The following is a 17,349-nucleotide window of genomic DNA, read 5'->3' on the forward strand; positions in this document are numbered from 1 at the left end:
CATCTCTACTAAAAATACAAAAACAAAATTATCCAGGCGTGGTGGCACACGCCTGTAATCCTAGCTACTCGGGAGGCCGAGGTGGGAGAATGGCATGAACCCGGGAGGCGGAGCTTGCAGTGAGCCAAGATCGCACTACTGCACTCCAGCCTGGGAGACACAGTGAGATTCCGTCTCAAAAAAAAAAAAAAAAAAAAAAAAGTAACGCTCTAACAGAGCTTATATATGATGAGAGGAAAAGAATTACTTGTTAATGACAAAAATACTGAGGATCCTTTTTTTTTTTTAATTAGAATAACTATTTGCAAAGACGACTTATTTTCAAACTGCTATGGTATAGTGGAAAAAAAAATCTAGTAGTCATGGAACCTGGATTTCATCCCTCTGCCACTAAACATAAACCATTTCCACTCTCTCTTTACACTTTTTAACTTAAATCATAATTATTTGAACATAAAATATAAGATTTGTCTAAAAAGTTGCAAATCTACAAAGCAAATCTTGAACAACATCTCTCTGGTGTTCTGCGATATGAAATAAATGTACTTTTCCATCCTAGAGATTTCTCTACATCTCACATTACTTCACCATAAACAGAATAGGGCCGAAATGTTCAGACTGATGGTGAAGGGAAAGCAAGTCAAGTGGCCCCATAGTGAGTCCACTGAAGAAATAACATATGAAGAGAAGAGTCATGAGAATCCTTGCCTCCATCAACAAACAGTAACTTTTATTTTGTTGATTTTATCTTTTATTCTTTTTGTATTTTTTAAAAATATTTTTTCTTCATTTTTAAACTGAAGAATCAGTTAACAGCAAACAGCAACATTAAACAATACAAAAGATGGAAATGTGTACTCCATATTGAAAACTTTTACGTCAGTTCCAACTCTGGTTAACAGACTGGGCTTTTTAGTAGGCTCTCAATATAAACCCAAGTGTATATGCTCTCTTTGTATTGTAATTAGGCTTTAATCAAAAAGGTAAAGTCTAAACAGCTACTGCAACATACAAATCTTTCATGTTATATGCATGGTTTTTCAGTTAAGAGTCTTAGTTTGGTTCTTTGGTCTTAGTTTTTAAATCTACCACCAAGTCAAATGCCTAATGCTAACAACCAATATTAGTATCTTTAAAAAGATTAGGACAAAGAGGTATAAAGAAAATATGGACATATTTTGAAAACTGAAAACTCTAGAGTTCATTGTATTATTCTCTCTACTATTATATGTTTGAAATTTTTCACACTAAAATAAAAAAGAATTAAGAAAGCAGTGCTCATCTTTAACTTTTCTTTAAATATTTAAAGCAACCACAAGCCCATTCATTATAAATTTATTCCCTGAGCTAATCTTTTTTTTTTTTTTTTTTCCAGATAGGGTCTCACTGTTGCTCAGGCTGGAGTGCCATGGCACAAACATGGTTCACAGCATCTTTAACCTCCTGCCTCAGTCTCTTAAAATAGCTGGGACTACAGGCATGTATCACCATGCCTACATGCTAGGCTAATTTTTAAATTTTTTGTAGGGACAAGGTCTTGCCACGTTGCCCAGGCTGGTCTCGAACTCCTGGGCTCAAGTGATCCTCCTGCCTTGGCCTCCCAAAGTGCTGGGATTACAGGCTTGAGCCACTATGTCTGGTCCGTGAACTAATCTTAATTGTTGTTCCAATCATTTCACTTATGGAAATTTATTAACGTAATTTTTAAGCACGAATTTTTTTTTTTTCTGGAGACAGCATCTTGATCTGTTGTGCAGGCTGGAGTGCAGTTGCACGATTGCAGCTCACTGCAGCCTTGACCTCCCAGGCTCAAGCAATCCTCCCACCCCAGTAGCTGGGACTACAGGCACACGCCACCATGCCAGGCTCATTTTTGTATTTTTTGTAGAGACAGGGTTTCGCCACATTGCCCAGGTTGGGGAAAATGTTATAGTAAAGAATCAAACATGAGGTCCAATAAATGCCGCCTACTGAATTTACCTATTTGGGTGCCCTTATTCTCTTGCTCTCTCCTGATCTATTTAAAATGCGGTTAATAACATCTACTACACGACTGTTTGTGAGGATGAGATCATGAATACGAAAAGAACTTTACAAACTATTAGTAGTAAACAAAAGTGCCAGTGTATACAGATAATTGTCCTTAATACTTAGTTATTATATTTACCTTTACATCATTATTTCCCACAGCAATTCCTATTTCTGCAAGGTCTTTTAGTAAAGATGCCATCATCTCAGCTGCTCGTTTTTTCTGGTGGTTGGTCATTTCCTTAAGTTTCTGAAGCTCAGCATCTATACTCGCTAAAGTTGCCTAAGAGAACCCAAAACAAAAAGTATAGTTAAATCTACTACATGAAAATTCAAATCAAATACTCATCGGTGTTTCAAGTTTTACACCAAGCCCTTACGAAACCATGTCTTTTCTGCTTTCATTTTTCTTGAACTATCTACCAGGTTCTGGGCTCCCAGCTCAAACTTAAAATATATTTTAGACCTAATAGGCTATGGTAAAAGTAGCCACATTGTTTTCAATTAAGAGCAGGCAGTTTCTGTTATTTCACTAAATTCCTGGGATTGAATAATATTTTCTGTCTAAAAATGGGAAGCCTCAAATTTAACTAGATTTGATTATCACTTATTACTATATTATGTCTTATCTTTAGAAAGTGAGTCAGCAAATTAACGTTACAATGACACTCTTTTCTAGATGGTTAGTATGCTTTCTTCATCTACTTTCTATATACTTACTCACTGGAAAGAATCCATGTGATAATACTATGATACAGGCAATTATCCAGGAGCTAGTGTTAAAGTAATATTATCTGAGTTTAATGACTATCATTATAAATCTCAAATCATAGCTGGCTTAACAGCTACAAAATCACCAAATTTTGAAAAGTCCAACCCAGTTTGGTGCCCACTTTAAAATAACTCATATGGCAGAACAGATACAAGGTGAGCATCCCCACTCCGAAGTGCTCGAAAATCTGGGACTTTTTGAGTGCTTGCATGATGCTCAAAGAAAATGCTCACTGAAGCATTTTGGACTTGCCAATTAGAAATGCTCAACTGGTAAGTATAATGCAAACATTCCAAAATCTGAAACGCTTGGGGCTTCTGTATTTGTAATGCCTGTACTATACTGTATTTGTAATGCCATTTATTGACTTTTCATCAGTATCTTTTAGTAAAGATGCCATCATTCCAACTGCTTATTTCTTATGGTAGTTCGTCATTTCCTTAAGTTTCTGAGTATCAGTAGAGTATGTATCCACCCAGGTTAATCTACAATATGATACCAATTATCTTCAAGTCTCATAATATAGCATGCTTCTACCATAATTGTTTAAATTACCAGACACTCTCTAACTGAACAGCAACACTGTCTAAGCATATAAACAGATGCTAAACACTAGGGATTTCTAACTCCTATTATCAATGTAATGCTGATAGATTTCAGCTCCACAAGTGAAACATAAATATAACTGTCTTAAAGACTAAAATCAGCGGCCAAGGACCACCTTTCAGAGTTGTAAAAAACTCCTGTTATTCTTTCATACAACAATTAGCTTTGTTAATAATGCAACTCAGTAAGAGTTAGTTATAATGGTGTCTTAGATCTGTACAGTACTGAATGTTAACTTCAAGCTAACTGTAACTTTGTAGATTAAAAAGAGAAAAGGAACTCATAGGGGCAGGAAACCTTTTAAAAGCATTATTTTGTACTGTTGACTGCTTTCTTTTAGACAAGTTAATGTGAGCAGGGAAATAAGTGGTGGACATGGGTCCTGAGTGCAACTCTAGATGCTGATTTCTAAACAAGAAGCTAGCATTAACCACAACAAAACCACAAAATAGCTCCTCCATGATGATGTTGAAACATTCATAGCTATGTATTATTTCTGTCATCATTGTTGGAGGTTGGCGATGTCTGTCCTGTATCAATTTTCAGCAAGTAAAAATCTCCATCTAGTCGCCAGGCACGGTGGCTCACGCCTGTAATCCCAGCACTTTGGGAGGCTGAGGTGGGTGGATCACCTGAGGTCAGGAGCTCGAGACCAGCCTGGCCAACATGGTGAAACCCTGTTGCTACTAAAAATACAAAATGAGCCGGGCGTGGTGGCGGGCGCCTGTAATCCCAGCTACTCGGGAGACTGAGGCAGGAGAATCATTGAACCCAGGAGGCAGAGGATGCAGTGAGCCAAGATTGCGCCATTGCACTCCAGCCTGGGCAACCAGAGTGAAACTTTGTCTCAAAAAAAAAAAAAAAAATCTCCATCTATTGGGAACCACTACACTGTGCTAAAAAGGCACTGTTCCACGTAGTGGAAATGTAACAGTAAGTAAAACATAAATTATGTTAAGTTACATATCCTTACATCTATTCCAAATAATTCACAGTTGATTAAATAGCATTTTAATTTGTACTGCATATTTAATTTATTGTTTGAACAATCATCTAATAGCTTTATTGGGCAACTAGCAGCTTTAAATTATTTTTCCTTTAACATTAGTAGTAACATTAGATTCTACATGCTATATACTAAATTAAAAAAATTAAAATTAGGAGTAGCAAACATCCTCTAAAACAGCATTTAAATTAGATATTAACAGACCTTTAGGAACTAAAATAACTGTCTTCCTCCACCTCTAAGGCTTCATATACAGAAAGAAATGAAGTTGAAACCCGAGTCCTTGAAAATTGATGTTATCGATATTTGACTTACATAGAAAAGTAAGTTATTTAAGTAGTTTTTAGGTTAAGAATACTTGTACTAAAGCATTAAAAAAGAAAATAAAACTATATCCTACCGATTTCTGATTCAATTCATCACTAAGCAATTCATATTCCTTAGTTTTGTCTTCAACTTCCTGAGACTTCTGATCATAATTGACAGCAAGTTCTTCTAGGGCCTGTAAAACTTCTTTCACTTCTTCTTTAGAGGCATCATTTTCTGCTTGAAGGCGATTCAGCTCAGCTTGCATATTGTCTTGATCCCTTCTGGTAGATGCCAAAAGCTATAGGACAGAAAATAATTTATTTTCCCCAAAAGTATACAGGTTTTAAAAAACACCCATGAAGCTTCACCATTTGTCAAGAACAAATGGAGTGAAATATGGATGGTATTCAGTGTGGCAACATTTATTCATTAAACAGATTTACTAAATGTCAACTATGTGCAGGCACTGTGCTGGATGCTGCAAGGCAGAAAGAAAATCAAAGACTGTGTTTAAGGAACACAGTAGAAGAGAAGATAGGCACATGAATAAGTGCAGTACAAGATAGAAGGTCAGAACCATAAGAGAGGGACAGGACAGATAAAGTGCTTAGTAATACAGGAAAGAGTATTCATTCATGGAGAAGTTGGCTAGGAGAGATCGACTGCAGTCACATGCAAATTAATGTAATAAAGGAAAATGGCATTCTACAAGAGTTGCTTAAAAATTTAGATTTGGGCCAGGCGGGGTGGCTCACGCCTGTAATCCCAGCATTTTGGGAGGCCGAGGCGGGCGGATCACAAGGTCAGGAGTTTGAGACCAGCCTGACCAACATGGTGAAATCCCGTCTCTACTAAAAATACCAAAAAATTAGCCAGGCGTGGTGGCGGGCGCCTGTAATCCCAGCTACTCGGGAGGCTGAGGCAGAAGAGTCGCTTGAACCTGGGAGGTGGAGGTTGCAGTGAGCCAAGATCACGCCGCTGCACTCCAGCCTGGGGAACAAGAGCAAGACTTCGCCTCAAAAACAAAAACAAAACCTGGTATCAGCACATAAAATCTGAACTGCAGGGATGCCAAGAGACTAGTTAGGAGAAAACCACAATCATCCACATTAGTGGCTCTCCTGTAGGGATATCCGGAAATCTGTGGGAGTGTTAATAATAGGGTAGAATGCTAATGGCATTTAGGAGTAGGGACCAGGAATGTTTAATGTCCTATAATACAAAGGACAGAATAACATAAATTATCCAATGCAAAATATCAATAGTGCCCCTTTGAGGAATAATGCTATAGTTGAAATATGAAATGCTATAGTTGAAAGATGATCTGACCAGGATTAAGTTCACTGATGGAGAGTATCTCTTTCTTACCGAAGCAGTCTTTGTCTTCACCCTGCCCACCACCCCCACAAAAAAATTTAAAGGACTGCTTTTCAATTATCCCCCTGCTCTGCTGGGTGAGAAGATAAAATGAGGATCCAAAGTAAGTGACAAGAAGAGAAATGTCAAGAACCAGGGTGAAAAAAAAGATGGCGGAAATGAACAACAGATTGTATCTGGGTAGATACGATGAATAAGTAAAAATTCACTTTATCCATGTGACATTCTTATTCCCACAAAGACAGTCATACCCAAAATTATACAACTATTAAAGACAAAGTCAATGGGATTCAGAAAACAAAACTATAAAGCTTTTCTGGAAGCAATGTAAAAGGTATTCAACTCACCTCCTCCTGATCCAACATTTGCGTCTTCAGTTTCTCTACCAGTTGACTTTGCTGGTTAATTTCTTCATCCTAGAATTGTGAAGTATCCGGTTAACCAGTAGCTAACAACCTGGTTCTAGTTGTTTCCCAATACAGGTTATAAGATTACTACTCCCCAGAAATATTTCAAAACCATTTCTCTAAATTCAACATTGCTTATTTTAATCTCTTTTAAGAAAATGGCAAAACAAAAGGAATTTCTTTCAATTATCAATACTTATAATGGTCATGTACTTCGAACCTGCCATCTCTGCTTAAAATATATTAAAAATATCAACTTAAGAAAATATTTTCTTCTAATCTCTTTACTACTCTTGTTCTTGCCTTCCATTCTATTACGTTCTTAGTTTGCTATTATTCATACTATTGACATTACTTCTATATGCAAAGCAGGAAGATATTATTTCCACTCTATTGTGTTTCCCTTAATCTCTCACATCATCTTTTATTGGAGTCTTCAGAGCCCTGATTCTAACAATTGGTATCATTGAGGCTCCCAATGACCCAATGCCAAATTTTCATTAGAACAGGGGTCCCCAAGCCCCCAGGCCACAAAGCAGTACTGGAAGCCTGTTAGGAACCAAGAAGCACAGCAGGAGGTGAGCAGCAAGCATTACCACTTGAGCTCCGCCTTCTGCCAGATCAGCAGCATTAGAATATCATTAAGAGCGCGAACTCTATTATCAGCTGTGCATGCAAGAGATCTAGGTTAGAGGATCCTTATGAGAATCTAATGCCTGATAATCCAAGGTGGAAGTTTCATCCCAAAACCATCTCCCCGACCTGATCCACGGAAAAACTGTCTTCCCTGAAACCAGTCCCTGGTGCCAAAAAGGTTGGGGACTGCTGCCTTATAAAGTTCTTTTAGCTTAAAAAGAGGGGGAAGAAAAGATACATGCTCATACAGTTTCCACACAGAAATTGAAATTATGACTTTTTATTTTGTTAATACAATAATTTTTACAAGATTAACAGAAATCAAGGAAGATGCATAAAGATCCTAAGTGCCCACAGCACTGAAATGAGAAAAGTTAGAAAATAAAAACACCCATGTCAATAGTATCCTAATATAAAGCAGACCTAAATCAAGCAATACCTACCTTGTCATCAAGCTGTTTGTATAATTTAGCAATTTCTTCTTCACACTTTCTTCTTTCAGCATCAGTAAAATTTCCTATAACTCCAATTGCGGTTGCTGGTTTATCATTGGTAAGAGTAATATCTTTATCCACTGTGAAAGCTTCCAAGTTGGCTTTCTCTTTGTCAAACTGTTCATCAATAGGCACCGTCTCCCCTAAAATAAGAAAATAAAGTGGTTAATAAAAAAACGACGTCTAAAGCTAATTTCAATTTCATTCCTTTAAAAATTTTTTTTTTTTTTTTTGAGACAGAGTCTCAATCTGTCACCCTGGCTGGAGTGCAGTGGTGCAATCTAGGCTCACTGCAACCTCTGCCTCCAGGGTTCAAGCAATTCTACTGCCTCAAGACTCCTGATTAGCTGGGATTACAGGCGCTCAGCACCATGCCAGGCTAATTTTGGTGTTTTCAGTAGAGATGGGGTTTCAACATGTTGGCCAGGCTGGTCTCTAACTCCTGACCTCAAGTGATCTGCCCACCTTGGCCTCCCAAAGTGCTAGGATTACAGGCATGAGCCAGTGCACCCAGCCTCGTTCTTTCAAACTTTTTCTTCTCTGTGTTATTTTCAAATAATCTGTCTTCAAGTTCAGATTCTTCTGCTTAATTAATTCTACTACTGATGGTCTCTTGCATTTTGCTCATTTTATTTTTCAGCTCCAGGATTTCTATTAATTTTTTTAAAAATTATTTCGATGTCTATTAAATTTCTTGATCTAGTCACTTACTGATTTTGCTGAACTATTTCTACGTTTCTATGCTCTAAATCTGTATTTAACAAACTGAAGATGACAAATTCTTAAGTTATTACCATTACGCCATCTGTTGAGCTCATTTTCAAGCCACTGAATAGTGTTCCGCAGGATCTTATTTTTTTCTTTTTCTTTTTCATACTTCTTTTTCCACTGTTCTGCAGTTAACTCCACATTGACACAAACTGTGTTCTTAATTGTTTTGGCCCTAAGAGATGTAATTGGAGGAAAAAAAGGATGAGACTGAAATTATTTTTAATTTTATCTATATGGAATATATGTATATATGGCTAAGAAACTTATGCTTGTCCAGTAATCTCTTAGACTAAATACTAAAAGCCGCAACATATGACGTTATTTACAACTCAACTAAATTTGAGTCTGCTCCAAAATCTGTGAATAGCTTTAAAAAAAAAAAAATCAACAAACCACTAAAAATAAAAGACAAAGGCCTATATTTTTCCAATTTGTTTGCAAGGCTGAATTAAGAAATTACTGTTGAAAGTCAAAGACGGAATCATCATTACTGATTTTCCTAATCATCTCATACAGATTATATTAACCTGTCATGCATGTCTACAGGCTTAACAGAGGATTATGTTTGCCAGGCTTTGACCTCATTATTTGATTCAAATGCTTATTTTCTTTAATACCAAATTACAGCTTGTCACACAAATTTGACTAAAATTACATCTGACTTTAATGTGTACTAAAACTTAAACCAAGCAGTCTAAAAATCAGACCCACCTTGTATTATCTGTCATCAATTCAAACTGAGTGTGTCTAGCACAAAACAGTATGTACAGGTTGGAATAACAGCTCACATTTTCCTACATTTTATAAACAAAAGGTCTATCTAAATTTAGGTTTTGTACTTTCTTAACAACAAACCTTTGGCCAAATAAGAGTGTAGATTTTGTTTCAGACTCATTGTATGATGATGGAGAGCAGCAAATTACAATAGTGGTTCTACAGTTGCCACCTAATGAATCTTGAAGGATTCTTGTCATTTTACTATCTCGATATGGAACATATGTCTGCATACAAAAACAAAGAAAGAAAACAAGACCAGTATAATAAAATGTTATTATAAAATAAACTCCCAAAAGACAACTAACTTACACATACTGATTCAAACACATTGAATCTCAATCTCTCTTTCTCTCTCTCTCTCTCATACACACCCAGGCACACATATACACCTATATTTAAATAATGCCCCATAAGGTAACAGGGAGATAGAAGACATGTATACTCACACTACCCTCAGCCAAAGCAGAAATAACATTTCCAAGAGCAGAAAGTGACTTGTTGATGTTTTTAGCTTCATCCAGCACAGCACCTTCAGCTCCAGTTTTACTAACCTATACATAAGATTTCAAAAGAATGAAACAAAATTACAAGTTTATAATTTTCTTTACATTTTCTAAAATGTTCATATGTCATCAATAACCAGTAAAAAAGAAAAAAGAACATGAAAAGCTTCATGATCTTATTTGCCAAGCATACCACCATTTCTTGAGTACTACTCTTAAGAGTTTGATTAGAGAGACATCAAATTTTATCTGTAGTTTGTAGGTACTCTTGAAAATAACCAATTTAAATGTAAATTTGTAGTTCATTAATCTGTTAGTCCCCTTTGCTACATTAGAAAACAGGAACCTTCTAAAATTGGCTAATGCATAATGTTGATGTTGTAACTGTTAGAAAACAGAGACTGAGTTTTAAACACATTATATAAGCAAATCTGCTTCTTTTAAAAATATATAAAATATCTAAATATCTATGTTGTGGTGTTTTTTTTTTGGAGACTGAGTCTCACTCTGTCACCCAGGCTGGAGTGCAGTGGCTTGATCCCAGCTCACTGCAACCTCCGCTTCCCGGGTTCAACCAATTCTCCTGCCTCAGCCTCCCCAGTAGCTGGTATTACGGGCATGTGCCACCATGCCCAGCTAGTATCTATGTTAAAGATAGGTCAGAACAATAAATTAGCAATGTTGGCTGAAGAAATAGCTTAGGAGATTTCTCAGATTAGATAATCTTTGAAAGATGTGTGTAAGACTTCAGAGTAGAACGGAATAGATATATCATTCTAAGCAGAAGAAACAAAATTAGCACAACAGCAAAAATGGTCAGAGGTCCCTATTATAACATTCAAACTTAATTTGATATAGACTAGAATCAGACTGTATAGAATTGTAATAATGAAACAATAATCCAAAGGAAAGAAATAAGTCCAACCAAACCAGAAAAGACTAATCGAGAGTTACCAGTTTTAATAGGGACCCCACTGCCAATATGGATAAAATACGTATCAAAAATTAGAAAAGGGATATCTAATAAAGTTTATAACAACATATGCTGAACCAGTTCTCACTATGAACATATCTTAAGTCATAGAAACCACTTATGGGTTGAACTAGAGTATGGTCAAACAACAGTAACTTGGAACTGATTATTCAGCTGATATCATCATAAGGCACTGGCATCAGCGGTTACAAATCTCAGGTTACCAAATCCAGTTTGGTAAGTAAGATGCAACAATGAACCCTGCGTAACTCCCAACTCAAACTAAAGTTTACAAAGATGCTTAAATATTTGTCAAAATACATGAAGACTTTACCTTTTCACTACCAGCTAAATCAACCAGATAAAGTTTTCCACTCAGCTTTTGTTCCGTTTGTGTGTTCTCTTGTTTGACATTAATAAGAAATATACTGTGACTCCTAGAGCTATGTTCATTCATATCTGCAAGGAAATTACACAAACAAATATAAACAAACATGATTTCCCCTTAACAATTTCCCTGAAGCAATCTTATAATTAATCACCTGGATAAGGATATTTTAAGCTGGTTTTAAATCCTAACCAGTGTTATTTTCTACTTACTTGTAACTGCTACATGTCTGTTGGATTTTCCTTCATCTATGGTATCCATAACTTCATCTGGACTACATACAAAACGCTCTGTGCACCCCTGTGAAATAATTTTTAAAAATATGTTAATGTCTGGCCAACATGATGAAACCCTTTCTCTAATAAAAACACAAAAATTAGCCGGGCGCGGTGGCGGGTGCCTGTAATCCTAGCTACTTGGGAGGCTGAGGCAGGAGAATCGCTTGAGCCTGGGAGGCAAAGGTTGCAGTGAGCCGAGACCATGCCATGCACTCCAGCCTGAGCAACAGAGCGAGCCTCCATATATTAAATGAATTGGCTCACGCCTGTAATCCCAGCACTTTGGGAGGCAGAGGCGGGCGGATCACGAGGTCAGGAGTTCAAGACCAGCCTGGCCAACATGGTGAAACTTCGTCTCTACTAAAAATACAAAAATTAGCTGGGCGTGGTGGCGCATGCCTGTAATCCCAGCTACTCAAGAGGCTGAGGCAGGAGAACTGCTTGAACCCTGGAGGCAGAGGTTGCAGTGAGCCGAGATTGCACCACTGCACTCCAGCCTGGGCGACAGAGTGAGACTCTGTCTTAAAAAAAAAAAAAAAGTATTACAGGGTTTTCTAGACAACTGTACTATAAATACCTTTACATAGGGAACTCGGTTTTTGTCTTCATGAACTGAAAGGTTGGTCTTTGAAACTGAGAAAGAAAAACAAATGTTAGCAACATTCTCCTAAAACTCTTAACACTGGATATGAAATAACTGATAGGCTTTCCTGAGCAGCCTAACAGCAATAGTTGAACTCTAAAAACATATTAAAACATTGCTCTAAAGCAGACCTTACAGACACAGCAGGAGATGTAAATAGAAACCAATGCAACAATATAGAATTTTAGGACCACTCCAACCTACCACCCACATTTTATAAACAAGAACATTAACCCTGAATGGTTCAATGATTTGCCTAAGGACAATGTATCTAATTGACAGTTGACAGAAGACTAGAACTCAGGGCTCAGATTATGTAACTCCCAGTCCAATGCTCTAATTACTACTAAGAAGTACCCATAAACATCGCTTTAAACTAGTTATTCTATTTAAAGGTATTCAACTAAAACTTTAGAAGAAAAAAAATTTTGTCTATTTCCAATAACTTAAGACAATTTCATATAGGTTACAAAGAAATAGTCTCACATCTATTATTAAAAAGGAATTAACAGATGTTATTTAAAACTGATTAGCAAGAATTTAACTTACCATCTAACAGGTCCCTTATCTTATCCAAATATATTTCAAAATATGAAACCTAAAGGGCAAATTTAAAAAAACACCGATCAACTAAAGTTATATAACTTATTCGCATATTGAGGTCTGAGTGCTAGGCATTGTTTAGACTAGAGAGACAGTTATCAACATACCAGCCATAGCTCACATTCTAATGGGAAGACATAAATTAGCCAAATTAGCTTAGTTATTTAAGCAGTCTTCCCATTGGACATAAATTACATTATCTTCATCTAAAATGAATTAGAATAGTTTTATGTAGTAGAAACCTTCAAGTTCTGCAGTAAAGCAACCTCCTTTATTTTTTGAAGGAGGCTAAAGACTTAATCATTTACGTTAGTTAACATTCCTGTTCATCTAATGGCAGATGAACAAAAATCCAAGTTTACTAACCTGAATGATCTTTCAACTGTACCTTTCCAGAAAAACAATTTTTAAAATTAAAGAAACCAGCATTTACTATTTTTTTAGAACATTATTCTTGCTGTAAAATAAAATATAATCTTTCCTCAAGGAATTTACCTTAATATGAAATTCCAAATTTTCATCCATGGAGTAAATATAATTAAAAATATCTTGCACTATTCTTGGAATAATTCCCATGCCTTCTGGATCATGAAGTTTACCCTAAACAAAAAACAAAACTAGACTTCTTAAATAAATTATAAAATATGAAGTAAAAACAAAGAGTTTCAATCTACAACTTATAGTCAAGAAAGGACAGGAACTATATTTTTGTGGAAACGGCTCTGTAAATACCTAAAAAATCCAATTCAACTATTACACATACACAGTACTGTACATCAACCACATGGGTTACCAACAGATCTTAACCCTTCATTTAATCACTAGATTTAGATTATCCATGCTTGTAAAATGTTCATTGTAAAATGAACATAATTAAAAAGGTTTTAGTTTCTTTCCATATAATTCTACATTGTTCCTTCTACTTCGAGGCAAATTCATGCAAATACTAGGATGTCCTTGTTCTCTATGACTTTATGAAAATCAGTAATATGAATCACACTAAAAGAAGCAGTCATTTACTTAATATAGTACACTCAAATAAATGATAAAAACAGATGCTCTTTAGCAGTGGCAGAAAATCACAGGCTGTTTTCTAGAAGCAAAGCTATAGTGGGTCCACATCTATTATTAACAGCAGCACTGATAATTATGGCAACATTCTTATCAGAGAAGAGTGACAGTTATTTTGAGGAAGGAGGAGCCAAGGAGAACAGGAAAAAGTTATTTATACTACATAAAATCAACAACACATAAGCATTCAAAATTTCCCATATAACAGGGTGACAAAAAATTCTTGTCTAAAATGTTATTTATTTTATGGTTATGCTAACTGATAAAACAATCTCAAATATAATCTCAAATACAGGTATCCCTTACTATTTAAACTCAGGAACTGATTAGATTCCAACAATGATGTTACATGTATATTATTTGTATGAGAAAAGGCAATAAAGAGTAAATTAAAATGTTTATGCATGGTGAAATAATATCACAAATAATGAATGCTGTATGTATTGCAAACCACATCTAAGTACAGATTATAAAACGTTACCTCCATTGTGTGTGTCTTCCCAGAGGATGTTTGTCCATATGCAAATATTGTTCCATTATATCCTTCAAGTACATCTATGAGAAAAGATTTTATAGTTCAGGGGATTTTTTCCTTAAGCAAGATTCCTAAGAAATTACTTAAACTACAGGATGACAGGGTAGAGAAAAGGTTAAAAAAAAAATTACTTAATGTTACAGGAAAATATCAGATGTTTATTCCTAGTGAGGTATAAAACACCCTAAAACACACACACACACACACACACACACACACACCCTCTTCCTAACCCTTGCATACTAAATTCTGTATAATAAAATATTGTGGGAGTGGCTGGGTGCGGTAGCTCACTCCTGTAATCACAGCACTTTGGGAGGCCAAGGCAGGCGGATCACAAGGTCAGGAGTTCAAGCCTGGTCAGCATGGTGAAACCCTGTCTCTACTAAAAATACAAAAAATTAGCTGGGCTTGGTGGCGCGTGCCTGTAGTCCCAGCTACTCAGGAGGCTGAGGCAGGAGAATTGCCTGAACCGGGCAGGTGGAGGTTGCAGTGAGCCGAGATCGCGCCACTGCACTCCAGTCTGGGTGACAGAGTAAGACACCATCTCAAAAAAAAAAAAAAAAAATTAGCTGTACGTGGCCTGTAATTTCAGCTACTCGAAAGACTAAGGCACAAAAATCGCCTGAGCCCAGGAGAAGGAGGTTGCAGTGAGCTGAGATCGAGCCACTGCACTCCAGCCTGGGTGACACAGTGAGACTCTGTCTCAAAAAAAAAAAAAAAAAACCAAAATTATTTGTGGAAAGAGTGGCAAGAAAGATTCAGATTTTCTTTATGCTAATATGAAAGACTCCATCAAAGTTTAGTACATAAAGGATTTATAAAGACATTAAAGGAAATATATAACAACAGTAATTTTCTTAGTGATGACCCATCTAAGCAATTTTCTCTGGACCCAGACTGCTTTCTGTGGTTAATTAAGAAACAAATTTTAAATTCCACTGCTTATAATAAAGAATCTCTTGTATCAGTGTACATCTCAAATGTCATTACATCTACACTCCAAAGCTTTATGTGACCAAAAAGAAAAAAAATCCTCTGCCAATTTACATACAGATGAGATTTTAGAAACAAGACTAATTGATGGTTAATTAGTAGCTAATCCTCACAAACCCCGACCTTCCTCTTTATCCTACCCACAAAGTGTAACACTCACTCCTACCTCAAAATCAATTACCAAGAAGTTCCTATGAAAAAAAATGTTATGAGACAGGGTCTCCCCTCTGTTCAGAGTGCAATGGCACAATCATAGCTCACTGGTCACTGCAGCCTCAACCTCTTGGGTGTAGTAAGCTGCCTGCTTCAGCTTCAAGTAGCCAGGACTAGAGGCACATGCCACCAGGCCTGGCTAATTCTAAAAAAAATTTTGTAGAGACAGGGTCTTGCTATGTTGCCCAGGCTGATCTCAAACTCCTGGGCTCAAACAACCCTCCTGCCTCAAGCCTCACAAAGTGCTGGGATTACAGGCCTAAGTAAGCCCCTGCACCTGACCCTCCTATGAAATTTTTTTCTAGCCTCTGACATTAACATTTAAATATATTCTTTTATTAGGTCAAAGGGGGGAAAAAGGCAATCCTTTGATTTCTGGCTTTCGAGGATTTTGTTTGTTGTTTGTTTTTGGTGACAAGAAAGGTACTATGAAATTACATTCTATTCTAGAGGAAGCCAAAACAAAAAGAGAAGCCTCTGTTGGAAACAGCATATAACAGTGAAAAGTAAACTAATAAGCAAGCCAATCCTTGTTTTTATTCATTATTTTAAAAAGAAAAAAAAACCCCAACATGGGCACAACTAAGTGGATAACAGATTTCCTACAGAAACATTTATTAATGAGAAAAAAAGACATCATTACTAACTTCCCTGGGAAGATTTTAAGAGACTCCAAACATTTGAAACTTTCCTTCAAAATCTTTTTATTTTTGAGAAGGAAAGCAAAATTATTTCATGTATCACATTTACCTCTTCCTCTAACCCAATTCCACAACGCACCCCCAAAATATCTGGGTAAAAGTCTCATCCTATGTGTTCTTACAGTATCTGCATTTAATCATAACACTTACCAATGAGTATTCGATCAATTTACCTGTCTGCTTTACTCACTAGCCTGTCAACTCAAAGTCAGGACCGTGTTTAACTCCTAACACAGTGCCTGGCACTCCAGAGGAACTCAAATGCTTGCTGAATATTTATTACCATCATCAATGTACAGCATCTTTCTAAAGCCTCCCTCACCCTTTTAAATATACTTTTGCCATTCCTATGAGAAACAGAGGTGGACAACTCTGAACAAGTATTACTTCTTTCATACTGTATCAACAGAAAAAACATATTTAGGTAGTGAGATAACAGCACATCACGTTGTAGAAAGTCACTTTGTATCTCCCTGAACTTCAGCCTCCCCAGCAAAATGACTACTTAGGCAAAAGCTCTGAGAATTAGAAGTCATCATATAAAGTTACTATTAACATCTGAGAGCTTACAATGAGTCAGGTTCTAACCATTTTTTATATATTATTGTATTTAATCATCACAAAACCCCGTGCACGGTACTATTAGTTTTTTGTTTTTGAGACAGAGTCTTGCTCTGTCACCCAGGCTGGAGTGCAGTGGCGCAACCTCGGCTCACTGCAACCTCGGCTCACTGCAACCTCCGCCTCCCAGGTTCAAGCAATTCTCGTGCCTCAGCCTCCCAAGTAGCTGGGATTACAGGCATGTGCTACCATGCCCGGCTAATTTTTTATTTTTAGTAGAGACAGGGTTTCACCATGTTGGCCAGGCTGGTCTTCAACTCCTGACCTCAGGAGATTCGCCCACTTCGGCCTCCCAAAATGCTAGGATTACAGGCGTGAGCCACTGCGCCCAGCCCGCACTGTACTATTATTAGTCCCATTTTATAGATGAGAAAACTGAGACACAGAGAGGTTAAATAACTTGCCTGTAACTCCACAGCTAGTAAGATGAAGCTGAGACGCAAATGCAAATAGACTTGGTTCCAGAGACCTGCTCTTAACCACTGTACTATATACTCAAGGAGCAGAGGAACCAAAATAAATACAAGGTAGGCTACATCTGGAAAAACCAAAGGTGAATACAGCGGCAGAGAGTTCAGGTCAGGAAGCCATGGTGGAAAAAACAGGAAATCTACAAAGACCTGATGAGATGCTTATCATAT

The 17,349-nt window shown here is 36.8% G+C and overlaps 1 protein-coding gene across 3 annotated transcripts in view; it reads right to left on the reverse strand.

The window, feature by feature from the left end:
• KIF5B (kinesin family member 5B) overlaps nt 1-17,349 on the reverse strand; it is a 47,411-nt gene that overhangs the window by 17,246 nt on the left and 12,816 nt on the right. For all 3 annotated transcript variants that reach the window (NM_004521.3, XM_047425203.1, XM_047425202.1), the window contains 13 exons: nt 14,124-14,197; nt 13,067-13,171; nt 12,518-12,566; nt 11,903-11,958; nt 11,260-11,347; nt 10,994-11,118; nt 9,630-9,734; nt 9,262-9,407; nt 8,430-8,578; nt 7,585-7,778; nt 6,446-6,514; nt 4,813-5,019; nt 2,168-2,311 (listed from right to left, as the gene is read on the reverse strand). In NM_004521.3, the coding sequence (NP_004512.1) occupies nt 2,168-2,311; nt 4,813-5,019; nt 6,446-6,514; nt 7,585-7,778; nt 8,430-8,578; nt 9,262-9,407; nt 9,630-9,734; nt 10,994-11,118; nt 11,260-11,347; nt 11,903-11,958; nt 12,518-12,566; nt 13,067-13,171; nt 14,124-14,197 (1,511 nt within the window). The remainder of the gene's footprint in view (nt 1-2,167; nt 2,312-4,812; nt 5,020-6,445; nt 6,515-7,584; nt 7,779-8,429; nt 8,579-9,261; nt 9,408-9,629; nt 9,735-10,993; nt 11,119-11,259; nt 11,348-11,902; nt 11,959-12,517; nt 12,567-13,066; nt 13,172-14,123; nt 14,198-17,349) is intronic.

The sequence above is a fragment of the Homo sapiens genome, chromosome 10, assembly GCF_000001405.40.
Source record: "Homo sapiens chromosome 10, GRCh38.p14 Primary Assembly".
NCBI lineage: Eukaryota > Metazoa > Chordata > Mammalia > Primates > Hominidae > Homo > Homo sapiens.